General features: G+C 37.5%; 1 protein-coding gene across 50 annotated transcripts in view, besides 1 other annotated feature; it reads right to left on the reverse strand.

Annotated features, from left to right (window-relative positions):
* The window catches only part of HERC1 (HECT and RLD domain containing E3 ubiquitin protein ligase family member 1), a 225,331-nt gene that overhangs the window by 109,901 nt on the left and 89,709 nt on the right, over positions 1-25,721 (reverse strand). For all 50 annotated transcript variants that reach the window (XM_047433260.1, XM_047433247.1, XM_047433234.1 and 47 more), the window contains exons 13-21: positions 16,206-16,331; positions 14,406-14,627; positions 10,979-11,131; positions 10,718-10,850; positions 9,129-9,320; positions 6,774-6,995; positions 4,664-4,837; positions 265-379; positions 56-176 (exon numbers count right to left, since the gene is read on the reverse strand). In XM_047433260.1, coding sequence (XP_047289216.1) covers positions 56-176; positions 265-379; positions 4,664-4,837; positions 6,774-6,995; positions 9,129-9,320; positions 10,718-10,850; positions 10,979-11,131; positions 14,406-14,627; positions 16,206-16,331 — 1,458 coding nt within the window. The remainder of the gene's footprint in view (positions 1-55; positions 177-264; positions 380-4,663; positions 4,838-6,773; positions 6,996-9,128; positions 9,321-10,717; positions 10,851-10,978; positions 11,132-14,405; positions 14,628-16,205; positions 16,332-25,721) is intronic.
* Positions 3,456-3,632: a silencer, noted in NCBI's record as "fragment chr15:64014173-64014349 (GRCh37/hg19 assembly coordinates)". NCBI's record gives its function as "represses an EF-1alpha promoter that drives an FKBP-Casp9 reporter gene in an ReSE screen in K562 erythroleukemia cells {active_cell/tissue: K562}" and the evidence as "EXISTENCE:reporter gene assay evidence [ECO:0000049][PMID:32094911]".

A 25,721-nucleotide genomic window follows, 5' to 3' on the forward strand; every position in this document is an offset into this window, starting at 1 on the left:
GCTAGCTCTCACAGCTTGCAGAAAAACATAGAAATTAATTGATTTCAAACTTTACCCATCTGTCCCGTGATGATGACCTTGTTTGAATAAGTTCAAGGTTCTTGCAAGCAAGTAAACGACTTCGAACTTTGTATACACAACGGTACACTTCTGATAAGTGTTTACCAGGTTGATATCTAAATGAAGAACCAAAATAGAAAAGTTACCTAATTTCTGACATCATGAGAGCAAATATTTGTCTGAGGATAGTTTTAAGTTACTTGCCGGCTTTCTCCACATGCTTGACTAAGTAAATTTGTGTGTTTCAGAAGAGCTGCAAGAACAAATCTAGACACAGTGTCCAAGAGTGACTCATTACTTAAAGTTGCACTGTCCCAATCTGAAAATAAAAATGATGCATTGACATTTAAAAGGGCTCAGAAAACAGTTCAGAGGTAATTTTTATAGCTTTAGTCATCCAACACCTGAATTTTATCATCTTTCTAAACTGTTACTTAACAAATGCACCTCATTAGATCCCACTTACTGTTCCAAGCGCTGTGGATATAGCAGTGAACAAAACTAAATCCCTGATCTAACAGAGCTTATATTATTGTTAGGAGGAGCAGGGTGGGAGATAAAATTTAAAAGAAAACATTAATATGACAGGTAAGTGCTATGAGGGAAAATAAAGCAGGGTAAGGAGAACAGGGAGTACTGTATATGTGGGATTACTATTTTATATAAGGTGGTCTGGGAAAGTTTCTGATAAGGTTACATTTGAGCAGAGATCTAAATGAAGTGGGGGAAAAAGCTTGTGAAAATGGGTCCCCTCAGAAAAAGCTAGTGCAGAGGATCTGGGATGGGTTCAAGGAGGCCAGTGTGGCTGGGGCAAACCGTGCATGCACAGAATGGGTAGAAGACATCAGAGAGCTGGCTGGGGACCAGATCCCAACGGCCTTGCAGGCCAGTACAAGTCCTCCAGGTTTTACTCGGGGAAAAATGAGAAGCAGCATTAGAAGGCTTTGAACAGAGATACAACATGATCTGAGATGTATTTTTGAAAGCTCACTCTGCTGAGTGGAGAACTGACTTATAGGGACAGCAATAGCAGAAGTAATTATTGCAGTAATTCAAGTGAGAAATGATGATGACTCAGAAAAAGGTAAGAGCAGCGAAGGTAATGACAAGTGGCTGGAGAGTCCACATGCATTTTGAAGGCAGAATTGACAGAATTTGTTGATAGATCAGATCTGTGATGTGAGAATATGAGAGAAGTCAAAGGTGATTCTAAATGTATTTAAAATGTAGTTGGCATTTACTGAGAAAGGAAGACCACATGAACAGTTTCGAGGGTAGGGAGCTGGAATCAGGAGTCTAGTTTTGAATACTCTCCATTAGACATTCTAGAGGAGATAGTGAGTAAACTAGTCAAATATACATGTATCTGGTATTTGATGCCATAAAAGTATATACTGTGAATACAAGTACATTTAAGTGGGTAAGAAATGAAACAACATTTCTTAAAACAGAAATGAAGACATGTAGTTGAAAACCGAAATCACAACATTAGATGATGAGGACTAGTCAGGTGCTTTTTCTTCCCTTTTTTTTTTTTTTTAAGAGACAGGGTCTCACTCCTGCTGTCCAGGCTGGAGTGCAGTGGTGGCTACATAGCTCACTGCAGTCTCAAACCCCTGGGCTCAAGCGATCCTCCTGCCTCAGCCTCCTAAGTAGCTAGAGTTACAGGCATGAGCTACCACACTCGGCCTCTTCCCATTCTTTAATTCTATGTTGGCACACCAGTATTGTACTTTAACAATGTAGTATATTCAGTAGATTTCAAATGGGGGTGGGAGAGTTATTGTCCACCCTGCTCCCAGAGGGACTGCTAGTCTCCGTTCATTTGACAGATTTGCTAAATATCTGGGCTACTTATAAACAAAACAAAACCAACAAAAAACACGCTTGAAAAATTTTTAGCCTCAAATTAATTTTGGTTCTTAATTCCTTCTTAAAACTCTCATCTCCAGAGATAAAAATGTTATATGCTGGTTTTCATTTCAGTATGCCTAAGTCAGAAATTTAAGTTCAGACTTATCCTGCTTTATCAGTAAAAAAAATTGACAAGGACAAATATGCCAGATTTTAAGAAATTCTTAAAGCCCACAGAGAATCTTAGAATGACAATCCTCATCAGGCTCTTAGGAAATCATCCATTCCATGGAATTGCTTGCTATTCTGAGAACTGCTATGACTAAAAAATCCAACAAGACTCCATTTCAAGGAACCTAATATTCAATTTTAAAAGCAAACTAAAGTAACACTCTTTGTTGTGTTTTAAATTTAGCAGGTATTACTCTCCTATGCCATTTTTAAAATAATGGGTTCCTTTAAAACACCTTCATTAAAATTATGTTCATTTCATACCAAACAACAAAGAATGTTTCCACTATTCAGGAATAAAGTCTATGCTTACAGTGTATAAGCAATACAACAAACAGACCCATACAACAAGTTTTTATTCACCTTATATCTAGTTTTTTTTTTAGTTCTCACTGCAAGGTAATAAGTGATAATGTGGTATAGAAAACCTAACTGCACATCCCAAGCAAATGTTACAAATATGAAATATCAGAAAATACATCTTAGAAAGTAAACTTTTTTCCTCCTCATTACTATTTCACCTCTGGTAGGAGTCACCACAACAGAATGAATGAATAAATGATTAACAAACAAAATGGGGCCAGGCGCCGTGGCTCACACCTGTAATCCCAGCACTTTGGGAAGCCGAGGCGGATGGATCACCTGAGGTCACGAGTTCGAGACCAGCCATGGCCAACATGGCATAAACCCCATCTCTACTAAAAATACAAAAATTAGCTGGGTGTGGTGGTGCAGGCCTGTAATCCCAGCTACTCAGGAGGCTGAGGCAGGAGAATCGTTTGAACTCGGAAGGCGGAGGTTGCAGTGAGCTGGGATCACGCCACTGCACTCCAGCCTGGACGATAAGAGGAGACTCTGTCTCAAAAAACAAAAAACAAAAAAAAGATGAGATTAAACATTCAAAGGTGTCATCTTATTGGCAGATCTGAATAATATGTATCTCATTTCATTTTCTTTATAAAAAATAAAGGCCAATAAAAAGTAAAAATGTATTTATTTTTGCCATTTTGATCACACAAGAAAGAAAATCCAAAAAAAATGGACAAAACTAATGACAGGATAAGAGAATGACACAGAGAAAGAAAACTAGAGATAGGTGATTCTGAACAATCCCGATCATCGTTAAAAAAACAAAGGAGCTAAAAAGAAATCAGGTACAGCCTTTGAAAATATGTACATAAAATTAATTTTCTTTGTTGTTGTTGCTTGTTTTTTGAGGCAGAGTCTCACTCTGTCACTCAGGCTGGAATGCAGTGGTGCAATCTTGACTCACTGCAACCTCCACCTCCTGGGTTCAAGTGATTGTTGTCCTTTAGCCTCCCGAGTAGCTGGGATTACAGGCACACGCCTCCATGACCAGCTAATATTTTTTTGTATTTTTAGTAGAGACAGGGTTTTGCCATGTTGGCCAGGCTGGTCTCAAACTCCTGACCTCAAGTGATACCTCCCACCTCAGCCTCCCAAAGTGCTGAGATTACAGGCGTGAGCCACTGTGCCCAGCCTATAAAATTAATTTTCTCAAATAATATTAGAAACTGAAATACCACCACAAACTTGCATAGTACTTTACCATGGTACTTAATAGTATATCTTATCTCAAACTGGAATCTTCACCAGCACTCTAGAGTAGGCAAAATGTTTTATAGATGAATACTGACCACACCTATAGCTTAGACTTCTAAGTACACATCCTTTCAGTCATTAAACCATGGCTTGCAAAGGGAAGATAATCGTTAAACAGACTCTTAAAATAGATCCATTTACATAGCACGGAATATAACAGTCTCCCTTATCCATGATCTTGCTTTTCATGGTTTCAGTTACTTGCGATCAACTGTGGTCCAAAAATATTAAATGGAAAATTCCAGAAATAAACAATTCATAACTTTTAAATTGCATGCCCTTCTGAGTAGTATGATGAAATCTCACGAAGTCACTTAGTAACCCTCTTGGTTTTATGATCTACTGCTGCGGTATCACAGTGATTGTGTTCAAGTAACCCTTATTTTACTTAATACTGGCCCCAAAATGCAAGAGTAGTGATTCAGTTAGCATATTATTGTAATTGTTCTATTTTATTACTGTTGTTGTTAATGTCTTACTATGCCTAATTTATAAATTAAACTTTACCATGGGCAAGTATGTACACACAGGAAAAAACGTAATGTATATAAGGTACGGTACTACCTGTGGTTTCAAGCAATCTACTGGGAGTCTTGGAACACATCACCCGCGGATATGGGGAGACTACTATACTTCAGTAAAATGATTACCTATAAATGTATTATATAAATCTCAATTTTCACACAGTAGGTTTAAGTGGAATACATGTATATAAAAAATAGTTACACTATTTTCCACAAAGGGAAAAACAAATTGTTTAAAAATGTTAATAAAATATCTTTTTCTATTAAAAAAAAGGGTGATCCCTATAATTTTCACTTACATATATTGCATATATATTTGCGAGCATTATGAGCTAACTACAAATTTACTCCCTTTATCTTCTTTATCTTACCTTTACTAACAGCATAGTCCTGCATGCTGATCCAAAGGCTTCGGGCAGGCTCTTTAGAACAACCCAATGCCAAGTCTACATAGACAGCAATTTCAGGCCGCAATTTATAATCAAAAGGCTTCTGTTCTTCATTTCCAGAAAGTGCTACTTCTAACAGGCAACTCATACATTTATCTAAAAAAAATACTCACGTTACCAATTTTAACATCATAAATTTTGGTGCTACAGATAAAATCTTACCACATTTATTTAATGATTATGAAATGATAAACTTCAAACCATTTTAAGTAGATGCTACCAAGGTAAAGTCCTTTAATGTTTTTCAGTTGGAGGTAGTATCAACCCTTTTACATTCTCCAAAAGGATGTGACACTCTACCAATTGTGACACTCCAAAAAAACCTCTGGTATTTTGCAGTCAAATGCTTTACCTCTGAGCTATACCCTACAACTCTGGCGTTTTGGCAGGCAGAGGCCAGAGAAACTAAATGTCCTACACGTGCAATGGTCTTGTATAACAAAAAACCAACGCGTTCAAAATGGAATGATATCCTCTTTGAGAAACAAGGAACCATTGAAAATGCGACTAGACCTTTTTTTAATAGACTTAAGTAAAAATAATCAGTTAAAAATGATCCATGTAAAAGATACCATGAACAATTTCTCAATTGATATTTATATTTGTACAGGTGGTTCCTAACTTTTCAGTGTGACATTTGACATTCAGAATTCATTTCACATTTAAAAATCAAACAAAACCATGTTCTAAGTGATGATGAGGTTCTTGGGCTAGTATCAAAAATCAATTCAACCCATAGTATAACTGAATTATTGTATTTTTATAATTTTACAAAGGCTAATACCTTTTTCTAATACATACAAGTAAACAAAATAAAATTTTAATAGTTTCATGATTTTATAACTTAAAAAGTGAAAAATAACATTAAACAGAAATTGATTTTCTTCATATTAAAGGCCAGTTTAATTGAATAAATATAACAGAAATATGAAGAGGGTAGAGATAGAGATACTTTTGTTCTCAGGAGGTCCTTTAGGACTGTCACAAGGTTAAACACTGACAGCAGTGGAATTATCTTTATCATGTTAAAGACCCCTTGAAAAACCATGATTTTACTTTCTTTAACAAAATGTTTCATAAACACCAGTCCAACATTCACCAGCCATGGCCAAAATCACTTTCTGGTTCATAAATGAAATGATGAATGTACACTCATATTTGGAAATGGAGGAAAATCCTCAACTGCTTCCCTCACTCCCACTCTCCAACCCTCCAAATCCCAAAGTATAATCTTTCTCATTTTGTTTTGTTTTTTCTTTTCTTTTCCGCTCTCCTTCTTTCCTCTCAGTCTCTCTTAGACTTTCCTTCAGGGACATGTTGAGTCTCTTTGTCTTATCAGAGAAATAATAAATTTTAGATCTAATAATATCATGTAGCCTGTCTAATCCAAATCATTATTTTATAGAATCAAAATTAGAAGCCTAGAGAGATTAAAGGACCAATTCTAGATAAAACAACTGGATTATCTGGGGTACCAGATAAGTCTTCATGTTCAGTCTAGGAACTAGCCTGCCAGCAATATATACAAATGGGAGATGCTGCAGAAGGGAAATTCTAAAGGCACTTTAAGTGGCGAAGAAAAAATTAGGACATAATATAATGTCAGCATGAAAGCAAGACAGGCTGGGAGGAAAAGAGGCTGCCACTCACATCTCAGGGGTGCTGCACTGATAAGTCATGGTTAAGTACTCTTACAGTGCTTTACATTCTGGGAAGCAGTTTCATAACCTCCAAGCCTCGGAAAATAAGTGATGAAGCATTGAGTTAGATGACTTGCTCAAAATGAGTGATAAATATGACAGAGTAGGACCAGACCTACAATTTCTATTTCCTCTGGGGGCTCTTTTCACCATATTGTGCTGCACGATTTAACCATTTTTCTTAGGGCTCCAAGTCATAGCCCCAGATTCCCTACACTGCTAATGTTGCAATTGGTGCCTGTCAGTTCTCTATTTAGCAAATCAGAATAGAGAAATCTCCAACTGAGGTACAAACAGGCATGTATTTTAAATGCTGCAGAGAAGCACATTACCCAATTGAGGAGTGTCCATTTCTACACCGTCACTGAACAGTGGCGTTTTCATCCAATATGCAGTGTCCTGTTCCTCTGGAGACACAGGGGAGCCCTGAAGCATGCCACCAAGACACCGCCCAATAAGGAGAGCAATTGTTCTTTCTAGATCCACAAGCCATACCCAGGACTGAGCTGGCTGAGGTAATGGCAGACCAGCAGGATCAATTAGTTCTGGCCCTCCTAAAGACAAAATCATTAGTTATTGTGTCTTTATCTGGTACTTTTAAGATTCAAAATATTTCTCATAGTCTCCTACCGTACTGCAATAAGATACTGATGCAAAATATTTTATGATGAAAACACAAATTATAATACTTTCTGTATTTTTTCTCTTTACCAGACTGATTTAAAATAATATCCAGAGAAGTTATGCTATCAAATAAAATTTTCCTTGGAAAAGTTACTAATTTTAAGATAAACATTAAAACAACATATGACAACATTATTCCAATCAATTATATTCCTACTTTTCATTACCCAGACCAAAATTCACTATCTTTAGGGAGTATTCTGAGTTTATTCCTCCAAAATCAACACACAAATTTATCCATTAAAATGACATTCAAGATTGTTTAATGCTTTTTAAGGCCTGAATTCAGAATTGTCTTAATACTAAGATCCAGACCCATGCTTTCTTTTTTTCTGGGGGGCGGGGGTGGAGGGGAGCAGACAGAGTCTCGTTCTGTCACTCAGGCTGGAGTGCAGTGGCATGATCTTGGGTCACTGAAACCTCTGCCTCCCAGGTTCAAACAATTCTCCTGTCTCAGCCTCCCAAGTAGCTGGGAGTATAGGTGTGCACCACGGTGCCTGGCTAATTTTTGTATTTTTAGTAGAGATGGGGTTTCACCATGTTGGCCAGGCTGGTCTTGAACTCCTGACCTCAGGTGATCCGGCGGCCTCAGCCTCCCAAAGTGCTGGGATTATAGGCATGAGCCATCATGCCGGGCCCAGATCCATGCTTTTTTATTGTACATTTGTTTTTAAAAGTTCTTGACTTCACGAAATGACAGCTATAAGGAACACATACCAATGAAATAAAAATAGAGACTGAAAAATCCAAAAAGCAGTTATTTGAAATGATAATGGATAAGTTATCTAAAAGGAAAATGGATAAATGATTAATAAAATTACTCAAGAAAAAAAGATGGCACAAATTCAAAAAATAGGAATAAACAGGATATAACCATAGATATACTAGAGATTTTTTAAAACCATGAATATTACAAATAACTTTATGCCAATAAATTTGAAAACCAACAAAATAACATTCCTGGAAATATATATATTTCCAAAATGGACTTAAGAAGAAACATAAGATGGAAGGGAATACTAATCACTAAAGAATGAGAATTGCCAGAGTCTGTCTACAAACAAAACACCAGGGCCAGATAGTTTCACAGATAAATTCTTCTAAAACCTCAGGAAGAGATAACTCGTATCTTACACAAATTATTTCAGTGAACAGGAATAAAAGAAAGTTCCGCGTTCATGTTATGAGATTAGTATAATTTTGGTAGTAAAAACTAGGAAAGGATAGCATGAAAAAATAAAATTATAGAAAAATATCAGTTATAAACATAGATGAAAAAATAAAATGACACCTTACTCACCTGATAGACTGAATCTTAGCAAGTTCTGAGACGCTTTAGAAAAGAATAAACTGGCCAGGGGCGGTGGCTCCCGTCTGTAATCCCAGCATTTTGGGAGGCTGAGGTGGGCGGATCACAAGGTCAGGAGTTCAAGAACAGCCTGGCCAACATGGTGAAACCCCGTCTCTACTAAAAATACAAAAATTAGCTGGACGTGGTGGTGCATGCCTGTAATCCCAGCTACTCAGGAGGTTGAGCCAGGAGAATCACTTGAACCCGGGAGGCAGAGGTTGCAATGAGGCAAGATTGCGCCACTGCATTCCAGCCTGGGCAACAGAGCAAGACTCCATCTCAAAAAAAGAAAAAAGGAAAGAATAAATTTGGAACAACTCCATATAAAGCCTAATCAACATCCTGATATGGTTGTAAATTTGACACTTGGACTAAGTGACACTTGATCACTGAACTGTATAATGTTAAAATAAGATAGGCCCTCAAGGTCATCTTTCCAACTCCAATGCTTTTCCTTTTATGCTCCAGCCCAGGATTCTTTCCAATAAAATAAGAGGACTTACTTAAATTTGAAAAGCTTTTAAGATTTCAGTGATGAAATTCCTTTGATAGCCTTAGGATAGATAGACTCCAATGGAAAAACACAGTGATGTGTGCAAGAGGAACAACTTTTCTCAAAGGCATTATTTGCTCTTTTATTGTCTTTACTTACCATGAAGAGGCCACTGTAACTCCTGGTCTTCTAAAAGATCAGCAGCTGGCAGGAGTCTATTAAGGCAATCAAGAGGTGGCAACAAGTCGAGGAGGTAACTCAATAAAGGCCGAGCCACTGACACAGGGAGTAACAGCAGGGAGTTAACAATCTGGCAGAGCATACTGCCAGCAGCTGAGACGTATATCACATCTATGAAGGGCAAGAAATTAAACATGGGACAATTGCTTCAAATGAACTTTAAAAAAAGGAACCTAATAAATATTATTTTAGCTTGGAACTAGAGTAGACTCATTCAACAACTCTCTGTTGAACACCTACCTGGTAGCTGATGTAGTATCAGTGTTTATTCACTTTCAGAAAGTACCACCAACAAACACTTTATAGGAAAGCATATGTATTCTCCGTACCAACAAATTCAAAGGATTAAAACTGTTTTCCTTAAAATTCATTATGAATTTCTCATTCATTAATTTATCTTCATTTTATAATTTACTCAAGAAATATTTATTTACTCAAGAAATATTTATTGACATACCAGGCACAGTTCTAGGTGAAAGGGATACAGCCTTGAAGAAAGTGGTTAAAACTTCCTGTCCCCCTGGTGCTTACCTGCTAGTGAGGGAATGCTTTCATATTTTTTAAACAAAATTTGCTTTTTTAAAAATCAAGATCACCTTAAATCATGTGTTTTTATAATCCATATTGGTTTTAAATCAATTTTATTTCACTATTTCATTGTATATCAGGGCAGAGAAGGTCATTCAGAAATGAGCTCAGTTTGAAAATATTTTAGTTGCTGTGGAACAGCCAAATGGAGGTATCTAATGAGGAAAGGTTTCAGTTTCACAGTGTTCCCTTCTTTCTTTTTTCAGTGGGGGAACTTCAGGGGCAGCTGGTTTTAGATAAACAATAAATTTTGGTTGTCTTTTGGATAACCAAGAAAAGACACCCAGTAGGCAATTAAAGAAAGGCTCTAGGACTCAGGAAAGGTGTTCTCAGCTAGATGGAAATATAGGAGTCATTAATATGTAAATGGTTGTTAAAGACACTGAGACTAGATAAGACCATTGGGGGAGCAAAGAGGATAGAAGGCAAAATTCGGAGGATCCTCAACATTAGAGGGCATGTCCAAGGAAGAGGAGCCTATAGGAACCCACTGAAAAAGAAGAGTCAGAGGAAGAGGAGAGAAAAAAGGACTGTGACTACACAGAAGCCCAAAGAAAGAATTTCAAGAAGGAAAGTGAAAAAATGGTAAATGCTGAAGAGAAAGGTAAAGAAAGAGCAGGTTTTAAAAAAAAAAAAAAAGAGCAGATTAAAAAATCTCACTTTCTGCCATTTAAAATTAATATTTTTGAGTTTATATCATCCAGTGCCTTTAAATTAGGCCTCTGTCATGCCAAGTAGACTCTTTCTAAGACCAATCACTGCTAACACTACCCCCAAACCAAGACTAAAGGAATCTTCAATAGAAGGAAATTCAAGACCATTCCTATTCCAGAGGCTTCTGGCTCTCTTAAGACTTTGGAAAGCCAAGTGTTCTTACTTCTTAATGACTGATTAAATTTGAAATGAAATACCAAACTCACCTCTTAATTTTTCTCCAACACTGCCATTCCAAGGACTTTCTTTGAGCAAATTTGCAGAACGTGAATAAATATCTGTGGCATGAGGCAACAAAAGCTGAAGATGTTTATGAAGCAATGCCACACTGCTTGAGTTCTAAGAAGAAAAAAAGTTCCTAAATTACTACTTTGAAAGATTCAAGGTGTAAAAATATCATGGCCTATCCAAATATCTGAGTTTCAAGGTCCCTGATAGATCACCATAAAAGACAAATAATCGCATACCTCACTAATGTTATTGATATGGCAAAATGCCAGCAGCTGTTTCTGTAGTGAACATAGCAGTTCATGAAGATGAGCAGGCTGACTGTTTTCTGATGATGATGTTCCAAGTAGAAATTTATCACTATTCTTTTCTAGCTCTCCAAATGCTTGATCCTAAAATGACACACAAAGGAAGTTTATATTTGAAGTGCTTGAAACTGAAAGTAACAACCTACCATAAATCTGATTTAAGCAGCATTATATGGGCTGGGTGCGGTGACTCACACCTGTAATCCCAGCACTTTGGGAGTCCGAGGCAGGTACATCACCTGAAGTCAGGAGGTTGAGACCAGCCTGGCCAACATGGTGAAACCCTGGTCTCTACTAAAAAATACAAAAATTAGCTAGGCGTGGTGGTGGGTGCCTGTAATCCCAGCTACCGGGGAGGCTGAGGCAGGAGAATTGCTTGAACCCCAGGAGGCAGAGGTTGCAGTGAGCCAAGATCACGCCATTGCACTCCAGCCTGGGCGACAAGAGTGAAACTATGTCTCAAAAAAAAAAAAAAAAAAAAAGCATTATATCCTTTCTCCCATTACCAATTTTTAAGTATTTGCTATAACCCTTATGATACTAGCTATTAGATGGTAAAATTCATCAAGCTACTTCTATTTGTTTTTTCCATTAAAAAAAAAAAAGCAGCTGGGTGCGGTAGCTCACACCTATAGTCCCAACACTTTGGGAGGCCGAGGTGGAAAGACTGCCTGAGGTCAGGAGTTCAAGACCAGCATGGGCAACACAGCAAGACTTCACCTCTAAAAAAATTTTTTTTTTTAATTAGCTGAGCATGGTGGTGCACACCTCTAGTCCCAGCTACTTGGGAGGCTGAGGTGGGAGGACCACTTGAGCCCAGGAGTTCGAAGCTGTAGTGAGCTATGATGGTGCCACTGCACTCCAGCCTGGGCAACAGAAAGCCTGTCTCTAATAAAATTAAAATTAAAATTAAAAAAGAGATATGACAACTAAATACAATGTGTGATTCTGGACAAGATCATGAAGAGGAAGGGCTGGGGTCAGAAACTGCTATAAAGGACATTATAGGGGCAACTGTAGAAATGTAAATGTAGACTATATATTAAATAACAGTTCTGTATCAATGTTAAATTTTGTGAATTCAATAATTATTCTCTTGTTACATAAGAAAATGTCCTGGTTTTTTAAAAATACATACTTAATATATGCTTAAATACTTAGCGGCAGCCAGCCATCTGCAATTTACTCTCAAATGATTTAGAGAGAGAGAACAAATTTGGCTGAAGAGCACAGGGGAATTCTTTGAATGATTCCTATAACTCCTCTGTGAGTTTTAAATTACTTCAAGTTAAAAATATTTTTTAAAAAGAGATGCTTTGTATATTTAGAAAATATCAAAACTCTATTTTAAAAAGTTAAAAGCACCATTTAAACAACTACTCAAAGAAAGTGACTGCTACTATAATATTTTTTGGTGTATTTCTTTCCTTTGTCCTTTTAAAATATTTTTCATAATATTGTACTGCATATTCTATTTTTGGTCTGCTCTTTTCCAATGGAATCATAAATGTTTTACACATTTTCATAAACCATGTGTATATAAAATATGATAAAATATTCCATTGAACACATGTACCATAAATTACTTAACCACTCCTCTATTTTTAGATGTTTCTGTTATTTCCAACTTTTTTTCCTGTAAATAATCATGTGCTGAATATCTTTAGGCAGAAAATTTGGTTTATGTGTACAATATACAAGACAATATGAGAACACTGTAGGGCCCTTGCTCTAAGTTGTTAATTAGGACCATTATTTTAAAATCTTAGAACAAATTTGGTTTAAATCACATCAGAAAGAGACAATAATTTATTATTTCTACCCAAAAGCAGTTAGTATTTTATTTCCATTTCCATATAATATATAAATCTGCCTTAGCCCTAATATTCCTTTCAACTTTGTTGTAACATTCCTTATAACTTTGGGAAAAATTTTTGGTCATTAACAAATGGCTATATACACAATATTGTTCTTATCCATTTGCAGCCATTACTCCTTAACATCAGATTAAATTTACATTTTTAAATCTGAAAGAAAAGAATTTTGTAGGAAGAATGTTCACTCTGACTTAGTGATCAGCCTTTCAATGTGGGCGGGATAGAGCACTAAGACTTGTATTGGAAGAAAAAGAGTACGTAGACCAGACCCTGAAGAGCCACAGGAAACAATATTAATTGATACACAAACAATTCAAAGTTAAGTTACACAGTACACTCTGATCCTGTAAGTGCTGATGAGTACAGAGATGTGTAGCTATATGCATCTCTGGCTAGATGGGGTTATTTGGGCAAGGTTTCCTAGAATAGTCAAGTCTTACATCACAGATTGGTAGAGAAAAACAACAGGAAATACGTGTACAATGTACAATTCTGGAAAAGGATGATTTCAGATAAGAATGGTGTGTGAGCCGATGATAAAGGGTCTGAAGGGTGGTGGTGGTGGTGGTGTTGTTTTGAGATGGGGTCTCGCTCTGTCACCCAGGCTGGAGTGCAGTGGTGCGACCTCAGCTCACTTCAGCCTCTGCTCCCTGGTTCAAGCAACTCTCCCACCTCGGCCTCCTGAGTAGCTGGGACTATAGATGCCAGCCGCCACGCCTGGCTAATTTTTGCATTTTTAGTAGAGACGGGGTTTCACCATATCGGCCAGGCTGGTCTCAAACTCCTGACCTCAGGTGATCCACCCAACTCGGCCTCCCAAAGTGCTGAGATTACAGGCATAAGACACCGCGCCTGGCCTGAAGGGGTTTTAATTTAATACAAAGAAGTTGTATTCTTTAATATAAAGAAGTTATTTAATACAAAGTTATTCCAGCAGTAAGATGCTGAGAAGAAACCAGCAATAGTGACAATAGCTATAACATTATTAGCACTGAATCATAATGATCTGGCTTAGAACTCAAAGAAATGGCAGGAAAAAAAGATGAATTTAAGAAACACTAGAGATTTAGAATTAATGGCATACTAATACAGGGAAAGCTATAGGGTCCACTGTCCTCTATCCTACTGACCAACCTATTCTCATTCAGTTCCAAGTACATTGTTTCATTATAAGATTATAACTGGCAAGGTTAATCCCTTGCTCATTATTCTTCTCTCTAAAAATGTTCCTATTTTATTCTGTTTATTATTCTACAATATCAGAAAAATCTGGTAAAATTCTAAAATAAATCCCTTTGAAATTCTCAATTACATGTTATTTTGTCCCCACAATATTTCAGAAACCCTGACATGTTTTTCCCCTTGGGGGAGAGGGGTCTAGAGTTTGATTTCTATCATAGGTGTTTAAATGTCAAAATACCTTGACTAAAGAGATCCCTACCCCTTTATTCTTTTTTTACTACAATGAAAGAACAACTTACTGTATAAAATCCTAAATTTCTTAAGAGGGTCTTCATCAAAATTTCAGCCAGGTGGGTATCTGGATGGCAGCTCTGAGTGCCGTAAGGTTGATCTGACAGATTTCCGTAGCCAGTACACACAGAAGATAGGTCAGCAGCATCAGAGGGTGAACTATAGCCAAGTAGGGAGGCTACGTGGGTATGATCTTGCAAACTTGTCAGGATGATATCCAGTTGCATTCTCTAAAGAACAATAAAATAGGAACAAGTAACTAGCGTAATATGCACTAGAAAAGAACACAAAAGGATCCCAGAAAAAAACTATACTAATCCACTTACTAGCTTAATAAATAATCATCTTCAGGAAGTACATAATTATAAAAACTACCCAATTAATCCCATTTAGGAAATGGGATTTAGGAAAATGCAACTTACAGGTTTTTATTTCAGCCTTCATTATAATGCCTAAATCTCTAAGCTAACATGGCATACTATGCATAATGATTTTAGTACTGTAAGTAGAGAGGAGTACGAAATGCCAATAGATAAATAATATGACACATGATTCTACAGTGTGACATTACCAATGACAATTACTTATTCTAATGTTCAAAATAAATCACTTGAAATCTAAACTAATGCAAAATACTCATTAAAAATCATCTGTAGGCTGGGCGCAGTGGCTCACACCTGTAATCACAGCACTTTGGGAGGCCAAGGCAGGTGGATCCGCTTGAGTCCAGGAATTCAAGACCAGCCTGGGCAACATAGCAAAACCCCCTCTACAAAAAATACAAAAATTAGCTGAGCATGGTGGTGCATGCCTGTAGTTTCAGCTACTCAGAAGGCTGAGGTGGGAGAATCACTTGAGCCCAAGAGGTTGAGGCTACAGTAAGCCATGATCGTGCCACTGCACTCCAGCCTGGATGACAGAGCAAAACCCTGTCTCAAAAAGAAAAATAAAAAAATCACCTATGGACCAGGCATAGTGGTCTCATGCCTATAATCCCAGCACTTTGGGAGGCCAGAGCAGGAGGATCATTTGAGGCCAGGAGTTCAAGAACAGCCTGGGAAATACAGCAAGACCCCACCGCTATAAAAATAAGAAAAAAAAATTAGCCGGGTGTGGTGGCACGTGCCAGCAGTCTTAGCTACTCCAGAGGCCAAGGCAGTAAGATCCCTTGAGCTTAGGAGTTCAAGGTTAGAGTGAGCTATGATTGCACCACCCTACTCCAGCGTGGATGACAGAGCAAGACTCTGTCTCCAAAAAAAGATTTAAAAAGAAAGAAAAGTATCAGTAAATATTACACTGCAAATAAGTACCAATTTTTTTTCCTCAAATCTGTATCTCTGAATCTGATAACTTCTACTTGGTTGAGCAAAATGTACTATTTTAAGGTATATAAGATAAAAATGGAAAGAAAAGTATACTCATATTATCAAATACTTTTTCCTAATAGTCATCTATACTCTTTATACAAACGATTTCAGACAAAGTTCTCAGCATGGAACCAACAGTAGCACATACACTTGATTTCAACTCAGCATACTACAAATAAACCACAGAGTGTCTGGCTTAGTACCATAAGAAACACTGGAAAAATTAGTCCTTATTTTAATAATTAGCCCCAAATAACTTAATAAATTATCACTTGCTTCACCTAAGGTTGTTAAGACAACTGGGAATTCTTCCAGCACAACACATTAACCCATCAAGTACTTATGCTCCAAGAACACATGGCAATTTATTAGTTTTATTTCCTTCTCAGTCCAAATTTTTAGGATACTACTGGTTTACTTACACAGCAAGCAAAGGCCTACCTGTCCTTTAGATAAGCTTTCCCATCTATCAGGTCCTTGAGGTAAAAGAGAATGAAGTAATTCCATCCGTTCTCGTAATGGAGGTAACAGCATGGTTGCTCCCACTGATAAAGTTTCAATTACCACCTAATATCAAAAGAGAAAAGTATACTGATTGGCCTGGTTCTTAGTTTTTAATAAAAACACACTTAAAGCGAACTCACTGACTACTAGGATCATGTAAGTCTAAAAAAGATGGCATGATAAAAAAGAAAGCATGCAAGTCCTCCTTCAGATGTCTTTAAGAAGACTATGAATACATATTTTCGATTTGCCACTAAATAGCTAATCATCACCTAACAAATATTTAGTGTTGATTCTATAGCATTCACCCTGGTAAGGCTCTGCGCAAAGTGATTTGGGTGCAGAAATGAATAAGACAGACAAAATCTCTGCTTTCATGAGCCTACAGTCTAATGGGAAAGAAAGACCCTGAGCAAGAAAGTATAAATGTGAAAGGAGTCACATAGGGAAAGTAAAAGGGTGCAGGAACTTGCTTGAGCACACAAACAGGGCAATTAACATGGCCTATGGGCTCATGGAAGATATCCCTGAGGATCAGGCATTTAAGAATTACAGAATTAGAACACATGGACACAGGAAGGTGAACATCACACACCGGGGCCTGTTGTGGGGTGGGGGGAGGGGGGAGGGATAGCATTAGGAGATATACCTAATGTTAAATGACAAGTTGATAGGTGCAGCACACCAACATGGCACATGTATACATATGTAACTAACGTGCACATTGTGCACATGTACCCTAAAATTTAAAGTATAAAAAAAAAAAAAAGAATTACAGAATTAGTAGGACCTGGCTAGACAAAGGTCCAGGTAGTGGGAACAGCATAAGGAATAGGAGCTGCATTATCTTAGGCCTCATAACTTCTCTGGGTCATGGCTTCTTTATCAGTAAAAACAGTGTTGGACTAAGATAAACTCCATAGCGCCTGTCAGTTCTAATACTCAATTTTTCTGTAAGTCAATGTTCTATTAATAATTATTTGAATTACTATAATGATTGAAAAATTCAAGTACACAAGAAGAATAACCCTTCCATCCAAAAGCATGTGTCCTCCAACACAGTTAAGAACAGGACAAATCTTTAATGACTTTCTCAGAGTACTCTACTCAAACTAAAATAAAGCTAAAATCAAAGCTAAAATCAAATTTTAGCTGTGGAAATTCAACAAAGGTGACTAAGGATTAAGAACTAAATGCACATATTCTGTTTCCAAAAGCCCATCTAAAACAATGGGCAGGGGTTGGTGGGATAAGTCAAAAAGACCCCCCTCCCCAGAATGGAAAGGAAAAAACAGCATCAAAATTTTGGAAACAGAAAGGAACAGACAAAGGGTAACTGACTTAAAAGACCTGAAATGGCTACACCCTAAGTCAAAAATGAGAAAAACCAAAAAACACTTTGATTTGTACTGTAGAATTCCTAGAGGCTCATATACTTCTGCAAGAGGGCAAAAAGGAAGAGCTCAAAACAGGAAGATTGGTTGAAAACTGGTTAAGATAATAGGCACAGTTGAAGGCAGGAATACCAAACTAAAATTGGGTGATTTCAAGACAAAGTGTTCATTCTGAATATTGAGACTTCTAAACTCTTTTTCCTCACCAGAAGACTGTCACTCAGGTTTATACCTTCTAGCAGTAGCTTAGAAGAGCCTTCCTTTGAAGAATCTCACTAGCCCAGTAGAAAAGACTTTAAGTGACAGACATGAAATATTACCTTCCCCTAAAATATAGCCCAGTCACATCAATCTACAATAAATTTGACAAACCTCATCTCTCTCTGTGTAGAGAACTTTTAGCATCCATCAGTCTTTTAGCATCACACTCTCTTTTTTTTTTTTTGAGACGGAGTCTTGCTCTTGTCACCCAGGCTGGAGCACAGTGGCACAATCTCGGCTCACGGCAACCTCCACCTCTGGGGTTCAAGCGATTTTCCTGCCTCAGCCTTAAGTAGCTGGGATTACAGGCATGCGCCACCATGCCCAGGTAATTTTTGTATTTTTAGTAGAGATGGGGTTTCACCATGTTGGGCAGGCTGGTCTCGAACTCCTGACCTCAGGTGATCTGCCCACCTCAGCCTCCTAAAGTGCTGGGATTACAGGCGTGAGCCACCACGCCCGGCCATAGCATCACACTCTTACCCATGATTGGCTTCGAAGCCAAAGGTTATTAGAAATTTGAGGAAAGCCTTTATTATGACAGAGACTAAAACTAACAGAAATTGTCTAATTTAAAAAAAAAAGTACATAGAAACAAGAACAAAAATTAGTATCTTCAAAAAGTGTAAGACAGAACGGGAGGCTACTAAAAAAGGAACACTTCCAGAATGAAGAGCTCTTATAAATTAAAAAGATGATAAAAGAAACAGAAAATCTCAATAGAAGGGCTAGAATATAGAATTAAATTTCTTATAAAGCAGAGGGGGGAAAAGATGGAAAACAGGAAGGAAAACACAAGAAAATTAAGAGGACTGGCTCAGGAGGTCAAGTATCCCAATAATAAGGAGTTCCAGAGAGAAAGAAAGAACACAGAAAACAATGAAGAAGAAATCAACAAAACACTTCCAGATATATATATATCTTTTTTCCAGATATATATATATATATCGTTTTTCCAGATATATATATATATATCTTTTTTCCAGATATATATATATATATCTTTTTTCCAGATATATATATATATATCTTTTTTCCAGATATATATATATACATATATATATCTTTTTTCCAGATATATATATATATATATATATATATATATATCTTTTTTTTTTTTAGTAGAGAAGGGGTTTTGCATATTGGCCAGCTGGTCTTCAATTCCTGGCCTCAGGTGGTCCGCCCGCCTCGGCCTCCAAAAGTGCTGGGATTACAGGCGTGAGCCACTGTGCCTGGCCAAGATAATTTTTTAATATTGAAGGTTATGACTTTCCCCACATCAGTTCATATCATTTTGAAATGTGAGAACACAAAGGACAAGAAGAACTTGCTATATAGCATCTAGAGAGAAAAACAGATTTCCATACAAAGGATCAAAAATTTGAAGCACACTGATTTTCTAAGTAACACCGCTGAAAACTAGAAGACAATGAAGCAATGACTTCACAAGTCTTACTGAAAAATGATTTCCAATTTAGAATTTTATGCCTAAACCATTCATGAAGATATTCAATTTTCAAACTGTTTAAGTGTGAGCATATTTTCATTTAATGTATTTTCTATCAGTCCTCTCTCAGAAGCTACTGATGGATGAAGAAACCCAGCAGAAACCACCTTAACCATGTGATTGAGGCCAACATTGTCAGTAATAAGATATATGGACATCATTAACCTCATGTAATAACATACCAAGGACACATTATTTCTGTGGTATTCTTGCCCAAAATACATAACTCAATCCCATCCTGAAAAAAATGACAGAGATATTCAATAAAATAATTAAATAATACTCATGAAATGTCAAGCTCGTGAAAGACAAAGAAAGACTAAGGAATTGTTGCAGGACACTAAATTGTTACAGAAGAGAAATAACAATTAAAAGCAATATGGGATCCCAAATAGGATCCTGCAACAAAACAAGGACATCAGTAGAAAACTGACAAAATTTCTAATAAGATGTTTACTTAATAGTATTAAACCAATACTAATTTATTTGTTTTGATAATTATATAATGGTTATGTAAGACATTAACATAATAGGAAGGTGGGTGAGAGACATATGAAAACTATTATTTATGCAATATTTCCTTAAGTCTACAGGTAGTTCAAATAAAAAAATTTTTTAAAGAAGAAAATTCAGAGAGGGTCAAAGGAAAATGGTGGGAAAGCATACAAGAAACAGCAGCAATGTGGTTACTGCAAATAGATAAATTACTATAAGTTTCAGAAATAAGAAAAGAGGAACACAAATAGCTGTAAACAGAAACAGCCTGTGTGTAACATCCTGGAACAATCTATCTCCAAGTATTCTTCTAAGATGCAATGGCTGTCAAAGAGACCCAAAGAATAAAAAGATAACCCAAAATATAATTTTTTAAGTTTACTTTTCCTTATTTTATTCTAGTACTTTTACCCTTTTCAAAATCTTACACTACCCCGTTTCTGATAAATATTAAATCATCACAGTTCCTACTCACCACCAGGATATTCCTCCAACCCCATTTGAGGGGATATGTCCCTCTACTTGAAAAGTCAGTTTATTTTTTTTTTTTCAAATTGACATATAATCCACATGCCACAGAATTCACCTCTTGAAAGTATAAAATTCAATGGTTTTTAGTCTATTCAGAGTTGTGCAACCATCACCACTATCCAATTTAGAATATCTTCATTACTACCAAAAGAAAAAAAGCCGTGTGCCCATTACCAGTCATTCCTTATCCTGCTCAAGACCTCCAACAACCACTAATATACTTTTTTTTTTTTTTTTTTTTTAGATGGAGACTCGTTCTGTTGCCCAGGCTGGAGTGCAGTGGCGTGATCTCAGCTCACTGCAACCTCCATCTCAAAGGTTCAGGCGATTCTCCTGCCTCAGCCTCCCAAGCGGCTAGGACTACAAGCACACGCCACAACGCCAGGCTAATTTTTGTATTTTTAGTAAAAAAGGGTTTTACCATGTTGGCCAGGCTGGTCTCGAACTATTTATCTCAAGTGATCTACCCTCCTCGGCATCCCAAAGTGCTGGGATTATAGGCGTGAGCCACTGCACCCAGCCCACTAAGGTATTGCTATGGACTTGCTTACTCTGCACATTACATACAAATGGAGTTATACAGGCCGAGCGCGGTGGCTCATGCCTCTAATCCCAGCACTTTGGGAGGTCGAGGCAGGCAGATCACCTGAGGTAAGGAGTTCAAGACCAGCCTGGCCAACATGGTGAAACCCTGTCTCTACTAAAAATACAAACACTAGCTGGGCATGGTGGTGTGCGCCTGCAGTCCCGGCTACTCGGGAGGCGAGGCAGGATAATCGCTTGAACCCAGGACGTGGAGGTTACAGTGAGCCGAGATCGAGCCACTGCACTCCAGCTTGGGCGACAGAGCAAGACTCTGTCAAACAAACAAATAGATAAATAAATAAATGGACTTACACAATAAGCCCTTTGTGTCTGGCTTCTTCACTTAGCATATTTTATTTTTTTTTTTTTCAGACAGAGTCTCACTCTGTTGCCCAGGCTAGCATGCAGTGGTATGATGTCAGCTCACCGCAACCTCTGCCTCCCGGTTTCAAGCAATTCTTGTGCCTCAGCCTCCCAAGTATCTGGGACTACAGGCATGCGCCACCAGACTCAACTAATTTTTGTATTTTTAGTAGAGACAGGGTTTCACCATTTGGCCAGGCTGGTCTCAAACTCCTGGACTCAAGTGATGTGCCCACCTTAGCCTCCCAAAGTGTGCAGATTACAGGTGTGGGCCACTGCATCCAGCCACTTAGGATAATATTTAGAAGGTTCGGTTAGGTTGTAGTATGTATCACTACTTCACTCCTTTTTATGGCTAAATAATATTACATTGTATGAATATACGAAATTTTGTTCATTTGTTTATCAGTTGACAGACACATGTTGTTTTCACCTTTTGACTATTATAAATAATGCTGTTATTAACATTCATGTACAAGTTTTTGTGTGGACATATGTTTTCAATGCTCTTGGGTACAGACCTAGTAGTGGAACTGCTGGATCATACAGTAACTCTATGTTTAACTATTTAAGGAACTGCCTGTTTTCCAAAGCACCTGCACCATTTTACATTCTCATGCAATGCATGAAGGTTCTAATTTCTCCACCTCCTCCAATGTTTGCTATTAGCCAGCCTTTTTGATTACTGTCACTTAGTGGGTGTGAAGTGGTATCTCAGTGTGGTTTTGATTTGTATTTCCCTAATAATTAATGATGTTGAACATTTTTTCATGTGTTTACTGGCTATTTTTTCTCTTCTCTAGAGATATGTCTACTCAGATTCTTTGTTCATTTTTAAAACTGGGGTATCTGTCTTTTTTATTGTTGAGCTGTAAGAATTCTTTATATATTCTAGAAACTAGAACCTCATCAGATCTATGACTTACAAGTATCTCTCCCATTCTGTGTGCTGTCTTCATTTTCTTGAAAGTATCCTTTGAAGCACAAATGTTTTTAATTTTGATGATGTCCAATTTATTTTTCCTTTGGTTGTTTGTGCTTTTGATGTCATAGCTAAGAAACCATTGCCTAATCCAAGGTGATAAAGATTTACATCTATGTTGTTTTTTTTTTTATTTTTTTGTGAGACGGACTCTTGCCCTGTCGCCCAGGCTGGAGTGCAATGGTGCGGTCTCCACTCACTGCAACCTCTGCCTCCCAGGTTCAAGCAATTCTTCTGCCCCAGCCTCCCAAGTAGCTGGGATTACAGGCGTGCACCTCCACACCTGGCTAATTTTTGTATTTTTAGTAGAGACGGGGTTTCACCATGTTGGTCAGGCTGGTCTCGAACTCCTGACCTCGTGATCCACCCGCCTCAGCCTCTCAAAGTGCTGGGATTACAGGCGTGAGCCACCGCGCCGGGCCCATCTTTTTTTTTTTGAGACAGAGTTTCATTCTTGTCTCCCAGGCTGGAGTGCAATGGTGTGATCTCAGCTCACTGCAACCTCCGCTTCCTGGGTTCAAGCAATTCTCCTGCCTCAGCTGGGATTACAGGCACACGCCACTACACCCGGCTAATTTTTTGTTATTTAGTAGATACGGGGTTTCACCATGTTAGGCTGGTCTTGAACTCGACTTCAGGTGATCCACCTGCCTCGGCATTCCAAAGTGCTGGGATTACAGGCGTGCGCCTGGCCCTATGTTTTCTTTTATGAGTTTTACAGTTATAGCTCTTATATTTAGGTCTTTAATCCACTTTAATTTTTTTGTATATGATGTAAGGGGCCAACTTCATTCTTTTGCATGTGGGTATACAGTTGTCCAAGTACCATGAGACACTATTCTCTCATGAAATAGTTTTGGCACTCTTGTAGAAAATCAGTAAGCCACAGATGTATGAGTTTATTTCTAGACTCTTAATTCTATTCCATTGATCTATATATTTATCCTTCTGACACAGCCACTCTATTTTTATTACTGTAACTCTAAAGTAGTATGTTTTGAAGTTGGAAAGTGTGAGCCTTCTAACTTTCCTCTTCTTTTTCAAGACTGTTTTGGCTACTCTGGATCCTTGAATTTCCATATGATTTTAGGATCAGCTTATCAATTTCTGCCAAACAAAGCCAGCAAGAATTTTGATAGTGATTGCACTCAATCTGTGAACCAATTTGCAAAGTATTGACATCTTCACAATATTAAGTCTTGCAATCCATAAACATGAGGTGTGTTTCCATTTATTTCGGTCTTCTTTAATTTCTTTCAATAATGTTTTGTTCCTTCAGTGTACAAGTCTTACACTTCTTTTGTTAAATGTATTCCTAAGTATCCTATTCTTTTTGATGCTTTTGTACATAAACTTGTTTCCTTAATTTCATTCTTTGATTGTACATTGTTGGTGTATAGAAACAATTTTTGTACATTTATCTTTTACCCTGAAGCTCTGCTGAACTCGTTTATTAGCCCTAATAGTTGTGTATGAGTGTGTGTGTGTTCCTTAGAATTTTCTACACACAAAATCATGTCATCCGCAAACAGAAATAGTTTTACAACTTCCTTTTCAATCTACATGAGTTTTATTTCATTATCTTATATAATTGCCCCAGCTAGAATAGAAATGGCAGGAGTGGAAGTCTTTATTTTATTCCTGATCTTAGGGGGAAGGTTTTCAGTCTTTCTCCATTGAATATGATATTAACTATAACTTTTTCATAGATGCCCTTTTCAGGTTAAGAAAGTTCCCTTCTATTCCTAGTTTGTTGAATATTTTTATCATGAAAGAATGTTGAATTTTGTCAGATGCTTTTTCAGCATCCAGATAATCACATTGTTTTTGTTCATTTTTTCTATTAATATGGTGTATTATATTGATTGATTTTCATACTTTGAAAATGGGATACATCCCATTTGGTCATGGGGTACAATCTTTTAGGTAAGTTGCTGGATTTGGTTTGTTAGTAGTTTGTTGAGAATTTTTACATCTATCTTCATAATGGATACTGAAGAATGCATCAGAGTACTTTAATAGCTGGTCTATAGTTTTTCTTTTCTTGCAATGTTTTGGTCCACAATTAGGGTAATACTGGCCTCACAAAATATAGTTGGGAAGTATTAGCTTCTCTTCTACATTCTGGAAGAGTTTGTGAAGAACTAGTCTTAATCCTTCTTTAAATATTTTGTGGAATTCACAAGTGAAGCCATTTGCTCCTGGGCTTTTCTTCATGAGATTTTTCTTTAAGGCCAACAACTCTTTGACTTGCCCTTTGAGACTATTTTCTAGATCCTGTAGGTGTGCTTCAACCTTTTTTATTCTTTTTCTTTTGTCTCCTCTGTGTATTTTCTTTTTTTTTCTTTTTTTCTTTTTCTTTTTTTTTTTTTTTTTTAAATGGAGTCTCACTCTGTCACCAGGCTGGAGTGCAGTGGCACAATCTGGGCTCACTGAAACCTCCACCTCCCAGGTTCAAGCGATTCTCCTGCCTTAGCCTCCCGAGTAGCTGGGACTACAGGCATGTGCCACCACATCCAGCTAATTTTTTTTGTATTTTTAGTAGAGAAGGGGTTTCACCATGTTGGCTAGGAATGTCTCTATCTCTTGACCTTGTGATCCACCCACCTTGGCCTCCAAAAGTGCTGGGATTACAGGCGTGAGCCACCATGCCCAGCTCACTAAGTCTTTCTTCTGCCATCAATTCTGGTATTAAAGGATTCTGAGGCATTCTTCAAAATGTCAATTGCATTTATCAGCTCCAGAATTTCTACTTGATTCTTTCAAATTATTTTAATCTCTGTTAAATTTATGTGATAGGATTCTGAATTCCTTCTCTGTGCTATCTTGAATTTCTTTGACTTTCCTCAACAAAGCTATTTTGAATTCTCTGTGTGAAAGGTCACAAATCTGTTTCCCCAGGATTGGTCCTTGGTGCCTTCTTTGGTTCATTTGGTTAGGTCATGGATGGTGTGGATGCCAGTAGATATTGAAGAGTTAGGTATTTATTGTAGTCTTCACTGTCTGGGCTTATCTGTACCCATCCTTCTTGGGCTTTCCAGATATTTTAAAGGACTTGGGTATTATGATCTAAACTGTATCTACGTTGTGGTTCTTGCAGCCTCATAGAGGTACCACCTTGATGGTCTTGGACAAGATCTGGGAGAATTCTCTGGATTATCAGGCAGAGACTCTTGTTCTCTTCCCTTACTTTCTCCCAAACAGACTGTGTGTGTGTGTGTGTGTGTGTGTGTGTGTGTGTGTGTGTGTGTGTGTGTGTGTCTCTCTCTCTCTCTCTCTCTCTCTCTCTCTCTGTCTCTCCTCAGCCACCTAAAGCTGGGGGTGGAGTGACACAA

Source organism: Homo sapiens, chromosome 15 (assembly GCF_000001405.40).
Source record: "Homo sapiens chromosome 15, GRCh38.p14 Primary Assembly".
Classification (NCBI taxonomy): domain Eukaryota; kingdom Metazoa; phylum Chordata; class Mammalia; order Primates; family Hominidae; genus Homo; species Homo sapiens.